The 17,684-nt window shown below is 35.6% G+C and overlaps 1 protein-coding gene across 4 annotated transcripts in view; it reads right to left on the bottom strand.

Moving 5' to 3' along the window:
- CHODL (chondrolectin) overlaps positions 1 to 17,684 on the bottom strand; it is a 350,031-nt gene that overhangs the window by 223,908 nt on the left and 108,439 nt on the right. For 2 of the 4 annotated variants that reach the window (NM_001204176.2, NM_001204178.2), the window contains exon 2: positions 15,492 to 15,591. The exons of the other annotated variants lie outside the window; for them this stretch is intronic. The gene's annotated coding sequence lies outside the window, so the exon portion shown is untranslated. The remainder of the gene's footprint in view (positions 1 to 15,491; positions 15,592 to 17,684) is intronic. 4 annotated transcript variants of the gene reach the window in all.

Below are 17,684 nucleotides of genomic sequence, written 5' to 3'. Positions count from 1 at the left end.
TCATGGAACATCTTATTGTGTTCGAGATGCTCAATGAAAATAAGGCAGCAAGAAATGACAGATTCACATACTGCATATATATCCTCTATTCATTCACAGGCATGCTCCTTTGTCCCAACAGACTTCACTTACAAACCACAAGTCCAAAGATAATGTTATTAAAAACATCAGGACAACAACAGCAGAGCATTAAACCAAGAGTGGGTTCCTTCTGTGTGTTGGCCCAGTGCGACTGCACAGGTTGCACACCCTTGAGGCTAGCCCTGCAATGAGTTTTCTGGTATTCTAGGCCAATACACCCCTATAGTAGAGATAGACTCATTTAGCAATCATCTTGCTGACCAGGATCATTAAGAGCATACAACCAATTTCCCTTCTCTGTGTCTATGATTCATTAGCAATCTTGCAGTTATAATTTGTCTTCCTAATGTAGACTTTTCTCCAGAACAGCAAATAATAATTCATTCATTCACTCAGAAGTTAAATTTCTCACTGTAGTTCAATATTGTCATTTTGCATAAAGGTATTTTGAATTAGTTAACAAAAAAAAAATGGCCAGAACATGACCATTCTTAAATACAGCCCCAAAATCAAGTTTTCTGGACATACAAAGGTGAAGACTAAGTAATGACCAAAGCTGACACATTGAAAATTCAACAATTTTGCATATTCGTGTCCCAGCAACTATCCCAGATATGTATCTCTATTATTTCACCTTCTGCGCAAGAGAATTTCTCTCTTAAAATATTTTACCTGAAAGTTTATGCACATCAAGTGATGTGAGAAACATAAAATGAAGCACATTTTGAACAAAATGGTTAACTTATTTCTAAACCACTGGATATATAGAATAAAGGAGAGGTCACTAAGCTATGGTTTAGAGCACCTGAACTGTAGTTCCCAGATCTGCTTCACACTGGCTGGGTGACAAGAGCAAGTTTTATAACTCCTCTGTGCTTTAAGTTCCTTATCTACAAAATGAGAATTTTAGAATAAATATTCCCTAAGGCTTCTTTCTGATTTATAATTCTATAATTCTATTGTACCTGGAAAATGAAAACCAAGCATGTCTCTTATTGCCATAGCTCTGAGGTATGAGGATATATTTTATACAATTTGTGGGCCCCAAAATGGGGCCATCTCAATCAGGCTGTAAGAAGGTTTGCAGAAGGGGGTGGGGAGAAGGGGGTCCATTCATCCAAGACCTGACTAGCAAATGTGTATTTAAATCTGTGCTGTGCTCCTGGAAAACAAATTGTCTCCCCTTCTAAAATATTAAAATTAAAAATTTTTAAACAGAAAATATTCCCAGAGTCTTTTCAGTGGAACATTTACATTTTTTTTCAAATTTTAAGTGGGATATTGAAGAGTATACTTTCTAAAAGCCTACAGGACACCGTTCATCAGCTCATGTGATAAGCTGTTTAATGTTTTAGGCAACAATGAGAAGAAGCAAGATTTTTTCACCTCTCCAAATTCTACCTAAAAATTAAAAAAAATATATTCAGCTTCCCATATCATCCTAAATCTGGACTACAAACGCTTTCTCATATAGTTATTGCTAATCTCTAGTGGATCAATTTGAATTTGGCTCCCTTTAGCACATATAAAAGCCATAAAATTTGCCACTAGAGTAGAATTGATCAAGCCCTTCCTAAGACTCACCTGTAATTTATTAATCAAGTCATTTAACTTGTAATATGAGCCTCTATGTACTCATTTTAAAAGAAAAAGAACTGAACTAGACATCTCAGTTATTTTAAATTGAGCCTATTCCATTCAGTCTACTACAAAATTCTAAGACTTATAGTTCTCAGTTAAATTTTCTATCATTTTGGTTTTACTAATTAATGATTTAATCATATATTGTGCTTAGACTTTTTCGATCACAAAATGCATCTGCATGACGTGAATCCTAAATATTATAAAAATCTGTAACCCAATTTTATATATATTTCAGTAGGTAATAAAATGATGTTTAACAAAACATTGTTTCAAAATAAAATGGCTTTCATTTAAAAAAAAATAGCTATTGTTTGTTGAATGTTTTGCTTTAAGTCATTTTTAATTTTAATGCTCAAAATATATTTTGACATGGGCATAGTTATTTTCATCACACAGTTGAGTAAACAGAAGCTTAGAGAGGTTAAGTAACTTACCCAAGTCCCCAAAGCCAATCACGGTCAGTTAAGACTCCAACACTATCTCTCTTTCTCCATAGGCCATCCTTTTGAGTGTGGATAACGCCACCTTGTGTCTGTCTATGACAGGCCAATAACACCGATAACAAATGAACAAAATGACTTTCATAGGTCCAACCAAATCAATGCCAGGATACAAATTTTCAGCTTACAGAAATCATCATATAATTTTTAGTCTTCAGTAAGGACTGTTTCACTTTTCTAAAAAAGGGAGGAAATAATCACAATAAAAGCAAGCTAAAGAGCATTTAAAACTCAAATCATATGACAAGAGTAAATTGTAAAGCTTAATTCTTTTTTTATTTCCTGACTTAAAATGGATCTAAAGCATGTAACTAGGTTCAGAAGCCAATTTATTACCAATACAATCAAGGGAAGAGGAAAAATGAAGAAATAAAGAGAAATCAGTCATGAAATGTTCTCTAATTAAAGTATATCATCTGATTTTTTTACCACCTGCGAGTAGACAAAAGAAAGCTATATTTGAAGTAAAGAGTTCTGTGGATAACACTCAAGATACACTAAAATAAAATGGTCCCAATTAATAAAATGGTATGAAATTTGATTACCTATAACAGTCTTTTTATGGAAAAAATAATAATGCACTGTAGCTTAGAGCAATAGTGTAAAATACACCTGTAAACCATTAAGAAGCTTTTTGTTACAAAACTGAACTGCTGATGCAGCCCTAGTATCAGCAAATATACCATTTTATTGAAGACACTAAGGCCTACAGCAATTCAACAGAAAATTAATTAGCATCAGCTCACCATAAATCTCAACAGTATTAGCTAAAATGCCAATTTTGTAATCACTTTTCATTAAAGCCAAAAATACTAATTAAAATTGATTTTTGCCTGTACTTTGGTGAGCCACTGCCAGTTAATGGCTTTCAGTTGTAATGCAGACCTTTACTTAAATTAATTTTGTATGTCGTCTCCTTCTCTTTTGTAAAGATAATACAGAGTGAAGGGATAAGAGCTGTGGATGCAGGAAAGGGCAGTTCATATGCAGAAAGAATTGTCCACATGTAGTGGACATAAAGTGTTCTGAGTCTTTTACCAAAGTTTGCATGACCATGCTACTTTGTAATCTGTTTTTGAATATTTTATTTCATGAGCAAAGATAAATAGGGCCTTTAACAAATAAATTATAAGACTCAATTATGATAAGAGGTTTGAATAGTTAAATAACATATTTCTTTTGAAAGAATGTTCTGAGTGAAGTTACATTCTTATTTATGTGATGTGATCCATCTGTGAAAAACTATCCTGTGAACTTAGTCCATGTTTGGAGGCTCAGCAAGACCCAATAAGGATTAAAGTCTCAACATGTGTTAAATGAAAACTAATATCTATATAAATGTCAAATTCCTTTTACTGGAGTTAAGCAGAAAAAATAGCAATCCATAAATCTCTTAAAGGGTAATTTGCAAAGGCTTTAATTGTTATTTTAACTTTTATTTAATTTTTTTAAAAAAGGCATGGTGCCAGAGTTGAGGTTTTGGTAGCATCAAGATGAGTTACATAAGGATTAGGGGTTAGGTTTTTCCAATAAGTAATAGAGGATAGGGAGTAATTTATATTCAGGATCTCTAAGGAGCCCCAAATTAGAACCAGAAGCCATATTGTCAAAGCAAGTTCAAGGCTCTAGAGTTCCTTAGATGTCGAATGAAAAGTTGGCCAATATTTCTAGATTTAGAATATAGAAAACAATATAAAAGTGTTCCCAAATAAGAAATTCAGGTCAAATATTCTAAGATCCATTGAAGAGAGGTAGGAATAGGCAAGGAACACATTTCACACATGATGTCTAAGGTTTTTATCCATGATGTCCAAGATTTCATACAAGATTTAGAGAACAGCATGGGATATGACTCTTTGACCTTAAGGCCTTTACTCCCTACCACAATCCCTACCCCTAACTACTAAAGCTACAAACTTAACACTTTCTATTACATTATCATGAACAATCAAAATAGATTTCTTCTTAAAATATTAGAATAGCAAACTTAATGAATATCTAAGAGTTGATAAATAACAGATATATATCTCTCAGATTTATTTGTAATGTGTTAACACAGAGGAGTTAGTACAGACTTGACATTGAGGCAGCATAAATCCTGACCATTAAGAATCCCTCGATTCAGAATTATCACTAAACTAAATAGCTTCCATCCCAAAATGGGATGGAATGAAAATTTCAGTTTGGACCATCAATTCATAAGAAGAAAGACATCTTGCGATCCCCATGGACTTATCTAGGTAAGTCTTTATCTTCTTTTTATCCAAGCATATTTTGTTTACATATCTGGGATCATATTTTAGATTCTTATTTTTAAGTACCATGGATGAAATATTCAAAAATTCTACATGTAAGATGACATTGAAAAGGGACTTACAATTAATGTTTGCCACTAGATTATTTGTCAGGCATTCCCAATATCTAAAATACCCCAAATCTTACATCAAGTCATTTTACTTGATTTTTAATGATACAGAAACTATCCACTCATATCTCATGGTCATTAAGTTTTCTATGCACCTCTACTCTGAAGTATGTGTTTAGTAATTTTCCAAGTGCAAGTAATTTAGTGATTGTTGGCAAGTATTTTTCCCACTTACTTTAAGTGGTCATCAAATATGGGAAGAGCTTCTATCTAAACTTAGTTTCAATAATAAAGCATAAGAAACACTTGTCACTGTCAATGGAAATACAGTGAAAGCAAAAAAATAAAAATTCAGCAAACTATCTCAGAAACGACTTTAACTATCATGACATAGAGTCCAGCTAAAACTATATTTAACTGGATTCCTGAATTCGTGTCAAATTGTGTAAAAAATCATTCATAATCAATGTCTTTCATAATTACCACTTCTCTTGAATTTATAATTTTTGATGATCATTCAAATGCCTGAGGTTAATTTATTGTCTACTTTTGTTTGATTTACATGTGGAATATATCTTCTGAGCCCTTATACATTGGGAATGTCTTTCTATTGCTCAGAAACGTAAAAGACACCTTGGGGAAATGCACAATTTAGCATTTCAAATTTCTTCCCTCAAAATTCTCCATTTTAATGTCATTTCATTATGACATTTAGTACTAAAGAGAAGTCTGAGGCTAGTCTTTTCTAAAAAAATCATTCTTTTGGAAGCAACTTAGTAAACTTTTCACCAAAAGAGAAAGTACCAGATGTTTTTCTGATTAAAAAAAATTGTAAAGCTGTATTTGTAAGGCAGATGATAATCAAATTGCTTAAAACCAGTTATAAAGAGGAAGTCTTAAAAGCACGGAAAAAAACATTATGTGCAGGGAAACAAAGGTAAGAATGCAAACAGTTTTCTTATCAAAAACAATGCAAGACTTGTAGAATTGATTCTGCATAAATGAGAGGAAAATGTTAAATCTGTATGCTGATTTTTTTTAAAGTTTGTATATTCCCCTCTCTTAACACTGGTTATTGCTGCTAAGTGTTCTAATGTTTATGTCAGATACCCTAAAACCATCAAACATTCTACAAGTTCTTTTCCTCTATATGTATTATTTACCCACTTATTCTTTTTATTGGTCTCTCTTTATTCTCTCTGATCTTGGAGAGCTTCTGCAAGTGATCCTCCATCACTGATTTAATTCTTTGATGGTATCAGCTCTACCCTTCACTACACACTTAACACTTCTCATTACTACTTCTATCATTATGTTACCTTTCCATCTCAACCTCTGTCTTCCTAATGACTTTCTGCTTCTATTTCATAGAGGCCAGAACTTCATAGTGCTATAAAAGATGGTAGGAGTCTAATAATTTTTCCTGTTTCCTGCTATGGATAATTTTAAAAGATTGTTCTTACTCTACCATTTTAGGATCTATCCCATCTTCATTTTAGAAGACTTTTGAGAGTTCCTCCATTTACATTGTCTACTCCTACTAACAAAATAAGAATTTTCCACACCTAAAATTTTTTAAAAGTCAGAATATATACATTTCACTTAGCCCAACTTTCTGTTTACTTGGATGCCAATTAAATCTCCTTCCAAGACATAGGATCGCTTGCTGTATAAGTTTTCTAATTATTAGTATCAGAACTAGCAGGATTTAATTCAATGTAGGTCTGTTGGAGTTAAAATATAATTCTTACTCATCCCCATTGTCTGATATTGTGAAAATATGTTATATATGGAAATCTAAAATCTCCAGAAGGTAATGCTACCAGAATTCTTCATACCTTTATTGGGCATACTAACCTTCTAGATATCAGTCTCCTCAAAATTGTTTTGGTTTTCAGGTGTGGTTTTAGATATTAAAATAGGTACAAAATCTGCATGGATAAAATATTATTGGTTAATGATTGAATATGGCAGGGCAATGCTATTCAAGCTGCCATAAATAGTAAAATCTTTACAATAGAAAGAACTCCACCCAGTTTCCTGGCTAATATTAGAGTTCTAATTATTTTATGGGAATTTTACTGAAGTCACTCATATCTGCCCAAATCAAAAAAAAGTTTAATTTTACAAGGAAAAGAAACAATTATAACATCAAGTAACAGAAAAAAATTAGAAAAGCTTTCCAATACTGCCTTAAATTTTTCTTCATGATAATATATATAATAGAACTGTTTTCAATCAAGATGGAAAGAAGACTGATTTCTGATAAAGAGAAAATAAACAAAAGAAGACCTATCGCTGTCCCACTCTAGTGCCTAGGCAGAGTTTCCAGGCCACAGTGCAGGGAAAGGAAGCTCAGGCAGAACCCAGTGGTCTTCCTGAGTTGAACTGAGTTAGGATTCCAAGGAGGCCAAGGTAGCTAGAGTTCACAGGGCAGAGTGCCAGAGCGTACAGTCCTATACACAAAGCAAGCCCCTGAAATATGCAGAGGATACCTCTTGAGCCTTCAGCAGAGTGTTAATCTTTGCATGTGTGTGAGGAAACTACACAAAGCCAAGGATAAAATGCCAAAAGGATTACAGGTAATATTCCCCAGAACTGACACATAACCAGGAATAGTTTGTGTTCCTACTAGCTAGACTGAAAAAAATCTCAGAATTCACAGGTCATTAGGTAGAGTACTCAGAAAGGTATTGCCTTAGTAATAAAGGATAATTGGCCCTAGACTACAGGCTTCTATGATCTCACCTAACAAAGCTCAAAAGCAAGACTCTAATAGATAAAACAGTTTCCAAGTAACTTAACTGCATCCCAGAATAAAGTTCAAGAATACTTATAGGAATATAAAAATAATCAAGATAAAATGTATAATGTCTGTCAGCCAAGTAAGAATTACCAAATATGCAAAGGAGGAAAATATGATGTGGGATGAAGAGAAAGAAATCAATCAATAGAAACAGATCAAAAATGACACAGATGCTATGATTTGTACATAAGGACATTAATACACACCATAATTCATATATTCAAGAAAATAAAGAAAAGATTGAGCATTTTAGGCAGAGACATGAAAGAAGAAGATCCAAATTGAATTTTCAAGATAAAACTTTAACATCTGAGATTAAAAATGCACTGAACAAAATTAATAGCAGATTAGGTTTTGAAGAATAAAGATTAGTGAATATGAAAACATAGCACTAGAGACTATCTGCAACGTAAACAAAGACTGAAAAAGAAGAAGTAATACAACATTAACAAACTGTGGGACAACTTCAAGTAGACTAGTATATATGAAATTGAAGTATCCAAAGGAGAAGTGAGGGAAAAGAAAAAACTGTTTGAAGAAATAGTGGCCTAAAATATTCCAAATTCGAGGAACACTGCAAATTATTGATCCAAAACGTTCAACAAACTTCAAGCACAAGAAATATCAAGACACCAAGGCAGATGATATTCGAATTGCTTAAAACCAGTTATAAAGAGGAAGTCTTAAAAGCAGAGAAAAAAACACTATGTGCAGGGAAACAAAGGTAAGAATGAAAACAGTTTTCTTATCAAAAACAATGCAAGTGATAAAACGTATTTAAAATACTGAAAGAAAGAAAACTCACAACCTGGTGTTCTATACCCAGCCAAATTATCTTTCAAAATGAAGCAAGTCCTTCAGAATGAAGGAAAAGCGATACTAAATGGAGAAATGGGTCTACACAAGGAAACGAAGAACACAGAAAATAGTAAACATACAGACATATATAAAGGCTCATCTAAAAACAGATTTTTCAATCTTCTGCTAGTAAGACCTCTCTCCCTGAAATGTTGCAAAGGACCAAACAGAACTTAAGGTTCTCTGCAATCCATCTTAATGGGAGTGGACAAAAAGAGGTCTGTCTGGAGTCATGCACTGGGAGTCTGATAACTGTTTCTCTCATCTGAGATGACCTACTGTGGTACAGCAACCAGGTCTCTCTGAACTCCCTTAACAAGTGGCGAGCCTGAGGCTTTCTCTCCTTCTCTAGTCAAAGAGAATATACCTAAAGTCAAATTTTCATGTTACTGGTGGCTTTTTCCTCCCTGGAGAAAGAACTTCAGTCTCCTACAGACCTCACATACTATCTAAGTACTGGGGTTCAAGATTACCCAGACAATTTATATAGAAAGCTGTCTTCTAAATTCAGATTGCCTGCTGACCCAGTAGTCTATTGCATGCCCGCTGACAATTGTTGTTCTCACATTTACCCAATAGAAGAAAGAATCACAGGAGAATGGAGACCCTCCACGCTAATACAAATATATTCCACTTCTATTAGACCACCCAGGCCATGGCATTAACTCCATGACATGAAGAAAATGCAGGTACTGTATGCTTCTTTCCTTCCTATTGGCTCTTAATTTGTAGACTTTCCCCAGTAAATCCTATTCCATAAATCTTAGTCCATATTCTGTGGATTGTGGAAGACTTCCCAAGCCCTGCTGCCTGACAGGTGGTGGTGACCTGGAAGGGCTACACTTGCACCACACTTTGTCTTTTATATTCAAGATGACGACATCAATTACTATGTATTTCAGGTCACCTGGTGCACAGAGAAGAGAAACTCTTATGTTTTCTAACAGATTTCAAAGTGCCAAGGAGGCAAAGTTTGCATGACATAATGCAACAAATTTTGTTTCCTAACATTTCCATTATTACATATTATAGAAATCATCTTATAAGATGATTTCCTACACATGACTGAGAAGCATAGCCATTCCCAGAATAAAGCACAGTCATAATATGAACAAGAGAAACAGTGGGCAAGCTTGCCAAGTCATTGTTTGGATGGGCCACTCATAGGGTTCTCAATTCAATTTCATATACCTTAGAGTCAGTGGAAATTCCTTTCAGATTCTGAAATCACGCTGATACTCAAACTTATCTTAAGATGTTATAAGGTTTTTTCTTTTTTCTATTTTTAAAGTATTTTTGTGAGAATATAGTACAGACTATATCAGCCAAACTTAAGCTATGTTATTTTAAATGAGAGGTCTCTGAAGTCACATTGTGTGTGAGCGTCTTGATTCTCTTCCCTTATGTTGAGTTCTTTCCCAGGTATTTTAATGATCCCTCATGTAAATATGTTCTCAATGGTTCTGTCTCACTAGTTCTTCAGAAACATAGAGTTATACAGATCCAAGGCTATACCCTACTATACCCATAACATAACTTTGACAACTGAAAAAGGCCAATGGGCTGTTACTCCCACATTTCTGCTGCTGGGTGTAAACTATTAAGTTCCACTCATTCTCTAAGTGATAATGATTTGGTCCCTGCAGTCAGAGGTCACAGGACTGTCACCCAGTGGTATCTTACCATAAATAAATCCAAACATTGATATTAATTAAAGTTGCAATATTATTTTGTGGCAGGATGCTATGGGAGGAATCAGTTTCTGATACCACCTGAAGAGAATAATAAATAAATGGTTCTTTTTAAATATATGTCAGATAATGTCATACTTCTGCACAAAACCAGCCATTTCCCAATTCACTCAGAGACAGACTACAATGACCTATATGATCTCCTGCCTCTGTCCTTATCCCTACCTCACTCAGTGTACCAGCTGCTATGTTCACAGTGAAATGCAGGTCACCGCTTTTATTGTCTTTGCATTACCTATTCCTTAAATTTTGAACTTTCTTGTCCAAAATATTTTGTGTTGCATTTTCTCTGTTCCATCAGGTCTCCATTGGTATATCATCCTATCAGTTCAGCCTTCCCTAACCCCCAATATTAAGTATCATCCTCTGACCTCGTTTACTCCCGTTTTTGTTCTTTGCATAGCATTCATCAGAATTTAATATGTGATGCATACACATGCTTGTTTATACTTACTCTCTCCCTTCCATGATGTAAGCTTATGAGAACAAGAATTTGTTCCCTTTTGTTCACTGCTACGTTTTAAATACTAAAAAGGAAACTAACACAAAATAAGCACTCAATAGCTATTTTCAAGTGAATGAATGCCATGCAAATGTCATGCCGTCACCTTTAAGAGAACTGCTTTCCAGGTTCTATCAGCACCAGGTGAACAATAGAGTGAAACTACATGTCGATGGAATTCTGGGCCACAGTTTGGAGAGACAGTGCTAGCTTTTAAAAGTTCTGGTATCTTCTGTTCAGTGGGGAAAAAAAAGGAAATAAGAGAAAAATATTTTCAAGTAAGTAATTGCACACCAGATGTTAGGGTACATTGATTTGCTCCAGTAAGGGGATCACATTTGAAACAGAAGTTTCATTTCAGGTAACCACCTGTCATTTTCCTGAAGTCATCTATCTTCAGCACCAGTCATATTGGAGAGATAAATGAGAAAGGGGTAGGAATCAATTCCCCCGAATCTTTCAAATATTGTATTGTGGCACTAATCTCCAATGACTCCCTAGTGATTCAGCATTGTTTGGGTCAAAAATCTATTTTCTCCCCTTCAGAACTTTATTGTATGCATTCTGTATTTTCCTAACTTCTTAATGTTATTTTTAAAAATGTTTTTAAATGATACATAAAAATTGTATACATTTATGATATACATATTTTGAAACATGTATATATTGAATAACGGATAAATACAGCTAATTAAAATATGCATTATTTCATACACTTATCATTTTTCTGGTGTGAACACCTAAGATCTACTCTCCTAGCAATTTTCAAGTATTCAATTCATTGTTATTAACCACAGTTGCCATGTTGTACAATATATATCTTGACCTTATTTCTCCTCTCTAACTAAATGTTTTATCCTTTGCTAACATCTTCCCAAGTTCCCCCTACCTGGTTTGAGTTCTGTTTATCAGCTGACTCTCCATAAGCCCATACTATGACTGGTAATCTGCAGTAGCATTGTAAATTAGTGTCTATTCACAGGCAGTGCCAAAAAATCATATAAATGATACAACTGTGATGGCAAGTAGAAATAGAATAATTTGGAGAATCCTAGGATGAAGGTTCACAGCATATACTTGTTTTTTCTCAAAGGTAATTTGAACTCTCTTCATTCATAGATGCTGAGTCATTGGATCGATCCCTTTGGTAATTAGGAAAAAGGCTATGGATTCTCTAATAGTGTAATTTATTGGGCCTCAAGTAGAATCTTAGTGGACTCAACAGCTATTTTATCCCCCTCTACCTAATACAAAATGCAAGTAAGCCTGGCCTCTGCCTCTCCAGGATTCAACCATCCCCACTGCAACCAAGGAACCAGTTATACCTGTAGCATTTAATAGTATGCTGATCTACAGAGAACAATCTCCAAAGCCCCTTTCCAATGGCAAATGTAATGGCATTTTTCTCCCCCCCAAAAAAATCTATTTTTCATAATTTTGGCAAATAAAGTCTGTCCTGCCCCAGCTGGGTCATATTAGATAAAATTACCCCAATTTCTTAAGCCTTCTGAAATTCTTTAGCTTCTTCTTCTCTATTATTACCAAGGAATTTCTGACATCTCTTTTATTAAATATGGGCCACTGTTAAATATAGGTTCCAATCAGCTAACTAAGTAAACAATTAAAAGTATTTTCAGAGTGAAAATGAGGCAAGTTGCCCTAGTAAGGAATCTCCCACAGGTTAAAGACTTATGACATCTTTAGGCAAAGAGAGAACAACTTTTCCAGATAGGGGAAGTGGGTCTGCATTGGTTGCCATGAGAAGTTCAGTGGAGTTGGCAGTTTCAGCTTCACCAGGGGCTTCACATCTTCCTAGATATTGCCAGACCAATTCTGAGTTTCCGTTTTCATATAAGAGCCATTATGAACCAAAATTTTGACTGCATTCTAATTTAGTAACTAATTAGATCAAACTATTCATTTGGTTCTTGACTGACTCAGCCCTATGGCTTCAAACAGTTGTTGAATCTTTGGCAAAGTCATAAAACATCTATGCCTTGCTGAAAATCTAGAAACTTACCCTTGGTTATTCTCCTCTGATCTGCCCAATATTATTAGAAAAAGCCACCCTGCTACATGACTTTAAATTCCACATACCTCTACTATTTTTCTAAGGTAGCAAACACTGGATTTACCCAAATTTTGCCTTCAAAGGGTACTTTATTATAAATTGACCACAGATTAAAATTTTAAATAAGTGTTTTCTTATTGAATACAATAAATTTCAGGATTTTTTTCCAGAATCCTAAAGAGATTTCCACTGTCTTCAGTCCGATCCCATCCATTTCTATTCCTAGTAACAATTTCTGCATTCTTCATTGCAACCAACAGAAACCTAATCTAGTTTACTTAAACAGAAGAGAGATTTTCTGGAAGGACATTTAATTACTTATGTATTTCTATGTAACAGATTATCCAATGCTTAACAATGGAAAACGACGAGCAGTTATAGTATGTCACAGTTTCTGTGGTTAATGACATCAGTTTCTGTGGGTAATGGCTCAGCTGGGTGTTTCTGACAAAAGGTCTCTCACAAGACTCCTAGCAGGTCTAGCCAGCCTACTGGCTCAACTGAAGGAGGATCTGTTTCCAAGCTCACTCACATGAGTTAACAAACCTCAGGTCCATGCTGCTCGTTGTCCAGACATGGACTGGCAACCAGGTAGTTCCTTGCCATGCAGGTCTCTTTGTAAGGTCGTTTCCAAATTGTCATTTGGCTTTCCTTAGAGTAGGCAAGAGAATGCGTACACCGATGACAGAAGTCACAGTCTCTTTGTAGCCTAATCTCAAGAGTAACATCCCATCACTTTTGCCATATCCTATTAGTTAGAAGTTAGCCATTAGGTCCAGCCCACTCTCAAAGAGAGAAGATTACTCGAGGGCACAAGAATCAGTGGGGAGGGATCACTGGGGGCTATGTTAGAGCCTGCCTGCCACAGATCTCCAGTACCTTACATAATTGACAAGGGGGCTAGAGAAGCCTCTCAGAAAGCCCCAGGATCCAAGAGAGGATAAAAGCTAATAACACAGCCAGGTCATGTCCCAGAGATGATGTGGCTGCAATGCTATCACAGGACACTTCCTGTTGTTCTCACTAGCACTACTGCACGCCTGGACTTTACTCCATAGTTCCCACTAACTTGAAAATCTTTTAATTAATTATAAGATTCAGTGTCCTGGGCTTGAACATCCATTTGCTTGAGGCTCACTTACCTGAGCCCTAGCTGCTAGGGCATTGAGACAGGAATGCCTACCTCCTTTGTCTCTTTGTGGGAAGTGGAGCCTCCCTGAGATTCCCCCCAAAACAGGAAGGTTCCAGATTCTAGATGACTAGAAATAAACAATCAGATAGAGACTTAGCTAAATTTATAGATAGATAAAATATCCCTGATACATGTTAAATATATACAAAGTTTCCTAAATTGTTGCCTTTTTGCACATAAAAACAAGTAAAGATTACTATTTTGATCAAAGTTTCAAAATGTTTATGTTTTCATAACACATCTATCTTCAGTGAAACTCATTTCATTCTTCTGTTTCTAAAAAATTTAAAATATACACAAGGATTGTTTAATCTGGCTTCATAATATATTCAAACAATGTCAGACATGTGGCCAAAATGTCTGCCTGCAAGCAAGGTGTGATTCTAATGCCATAAATTAAAGTAGGAATTTGTACATCCCCCACATCAATATATATGTTTAACACATTGCCTAGAGTCTGACTGATTTATGAATTATTATCACTCATGCTATTTAAAGCTGAGATTCCTATAAATAGATCTATTGCTTTAGGAGAGATGATATTGGTTCATCCGCACCCAAGTGAAAGTGACTTCTCACCTCATTTTCTTTGATTAGAAAAAAATTAAAGAGGCCATAAGAACTCTAAGAAATTAAAGAAGGTGAGAAAGAGAAAGCATAATGGGTAACATGAGATGCTAAGCTCACTTCATAATTTTTCATGTGCAATTCTAAACCAGACCATGTTCAGGGAATAAAAAGAGACAATGAATTTATAAAATCTACTTTCATTTTTATCATTGAAAATAGGTATGCCAGCTATTATTTACCTTAACTGACAAAACATATATCTGTCTATGAACCAGGCTGGGCTAAATAAGTGACTTTGAAATCACTTATTCAACAATATTCAACAAATATTTGCTGGATGTATATTATGCAGTAGTAACTGTCCAGCCACTGGAGATAAAGTAGTTAACAAGACTAGTTCTTTTTTTTTTTTTTTTTTTTTTTTAGATGGAGTTTTGCTCTTGTTGCCCAGGCTGGAGTGCAGTGACAGGATCTTGGTTCATTGCAACCTCCGCCTCCCAGGTTCAACAGATTCTTCTGCCTCAGCCTCCCAAATAGCTGGGATTACAAGCACCTGCCACCACGCCCAGCTAATTTTTTGTATTTTTAGTAGAGATGGGGTTTCACCATGTTTGGTCAGGCTGGTCTTGAACTCCTGACCTCAGGTGATCTACCCACCTTGGCCTCCCAAAGTGCTGGGATTACAGGCGTGAGCCACCGTGCCCAACCAAAACAAGTCTAGTTCTTGATCTTATGAAACTTACCTGTAAAAATAGATAATAAGTTACACAGATAGAAGAAAGAAACAGAGAGGAAGGAAGGAAGGAAGGAAGGAAGGAAGGAAGGAAGGAAGGAAGGAAGGAAGGGGAAAAGGAAAAAGAAAAAGAAAAGGAAAAGGGGAAGGGGAAGGGGAGGGGAGGGGAGGGGAGGGGAGGAAGAGCTAAAGGAAATAATAAGGTGCTGTGATAAGGAATAACAGAGATAGCTAATTTACTTGTTCAAAAAAATTCCCAACAAAGAGATGACATTTAAATTCACACTGAAATATGAGGTTTCTTTCATTGTTGTATTTGTATTGATACTGTTTAAAGGAACTGTGTCTTAGTCAGTTTGAGCTCCTATAACAGTATGTCATGACCAGGTGGCTTAAACAATAGAAATTTATTTCTTACAGTTCTGGAGGCTAGAAGTTCAGAATCAACGTGCTGGCCCATCCAGTTTCTGGGGAGGGACCACCTCCTGGTCTACAGATGGGCATCTTCTTGTTGTATTCTCCTTTGGTAGAGAACAGAGAGAGGAAGCAAGCTCTCTTGTATTGCTTTATCAGGGCACTAAGCCCATTCATGAGGGCTCTCCTCTCATGATCTAATTACCTCCCAAAAGCCCCACCTCTTAGTACCACCACGTTATGCGTTAGAATTTCAACATATGAATTTGAGAAGGGATACAAGCATTCAGTCTATAGCAAACTGAAATCACTCTGGGGGTCACAGCAAGGTACAAAATTGAGAAGCAAGCTAAAAAGAACAGAGAAGTGCTTAATATTAAAAGGCATCGCACTTTACCTAAGTTCCTGTTTCCTAGCACTCATTTCAAGGTGAAATGCTCATTACCTACGTTAAATCTAACATACATGAATCATGCCAAAGTTTAAGTCATTCACATGTGATTCTTCTGTGTAACTACAGAGCAATATTATCATCATTAATAATTTGTATTTTGCTTTCCTTCAATGACTTCAAAATCTATAATTAGAAGAGAATTATTTAGATCCATACCTATTTAGTTTAATAATTGCTATTAAAAAACTAATGAAAGGACATGTTATTTCTGGAGAGTTTTTTTTATTTATTGTTACGATTGCTTTTTAGAGACAGGGTCTTACTCTGTCACAGAGGCTGGCGTACAGTGGCACCATCATGGCTCACTGCAGCCTCAAATTCCTGGCCTTAAGTGATCCTTCCACCTCAGCCTCCCAAGTAGCTAGAATGAGAGGCATGTGCCACCACACTCAGCTAATTTTTTTTTCATAGTAATAGGGGTCTCACTATGTTGTCCAGGCTGGTTTCAAACTCCTGGCTTTCAGCAATCGACCCACTTCTGCCTCCCAAAGCACTAGGATCACAGACATGAGCCACTGCGCCCAGCCTGGACAGATAAATTTAAAGGTATTACTTGCTTCTTTCTTAAATTATCTTTCTAAAAACAGAAGACGCAAATTTTATAAAACTTTAACTATCACATCCTTCAAAAATGAATTTTGAAATATGTCAAAAAAAAGTAAAGATTGTGTTTAACCTTTGTCTACAAACTTTCATGTGGAGTTGAAGTTAAGAATGTGCGCCCTCCACATTACAGTGCACATAGCATTCCAGAAACGACTTAGGATAATCAAATGGATTGCATGTGTATTAAACATCTTTTGATTCCTTTTAATCAGCTTTGCACAAAAGAACCAATTTTGGCATGTGAAGAAAGCAAAGGAGTGCATTTTCTGAATGTTAATGCATGTAATAGAGGGAAAGTCACATTTGTTATAACTCTCCCATAAAGTGGAGCTGTAATCTCACCATGCATCTGTTCCATATGCCATCAATTAGTTTGATGAAAACAGGCTAACAGTGCAGGAGTGATTAGCAGCAAAGATTAAATTCACTTCATTTTTAATTACAAATCTTTGTCCTTAAAGTGATCCAAGCTTGTCGAACCCCTACTGTTCTGTTTCTCCTCCACAGTTGATGTGCTTTTTATTCTTCATTTTGAAATTATTAATGCATTTTATTTGGTACTTATTTCTAATTACAGGCTTTACCCACAAATGTTACTGATATGCCTAAGCAGAACTAAGGCTGTTCAAATCTTACTAATTCAAGTTCAAATGATCTTTAGTAGCAAATGTGGCATCTGTTAGATGTAGAGAGCTCTGAGGTTGACGTATTTGTCACTCAACTTACTGGTTTTATCCATTGACCGATTCATTTATCTATTCATTCAGCAAATACTAATTTCATGTCTATTATGTCCCAGGAACTGATATAGGTGCTTAGTATATCAAAATAGACAAAAATCCTTTACCTCACCAAACCTATATTACAGTGGCTGGAAATAAACCAATTGTTAGGGGCTGAATCGTGTCACCCAAAATTTATATGTTGAAGTCCCAATCCCCAGTATGTCAGAATGTAACAGCATTTGAAGATAAGGTATTTAAAGAGGTATTTAAGTTACAATGAGGTCTGTAGGGTAGGCCCTAGTCCAATATGACTCGGGTCCTTATAAGAACAGGAAATTTGGACACAGACACACACACACTGAGACTGAGGAAAGACCGTGGAAGATGAAGGGAGAAGGCAGCCATATTCGAG

This window comes from Homo sapiens, chromosome 21 (genome assembly GCF_000001405.40).
Source record: "Homo sapiens chromosome 21, GRCh38.p14 Primary Assembly".
Lineage (NCBI taxonomy): Eukaryota > Metazoa > Chordata > Mammalia > Primates > Hominidae > Homo > Homo sapiens.
This window is presented reverse-complemented; position numbering and strand designations above follow the sequence as displayed.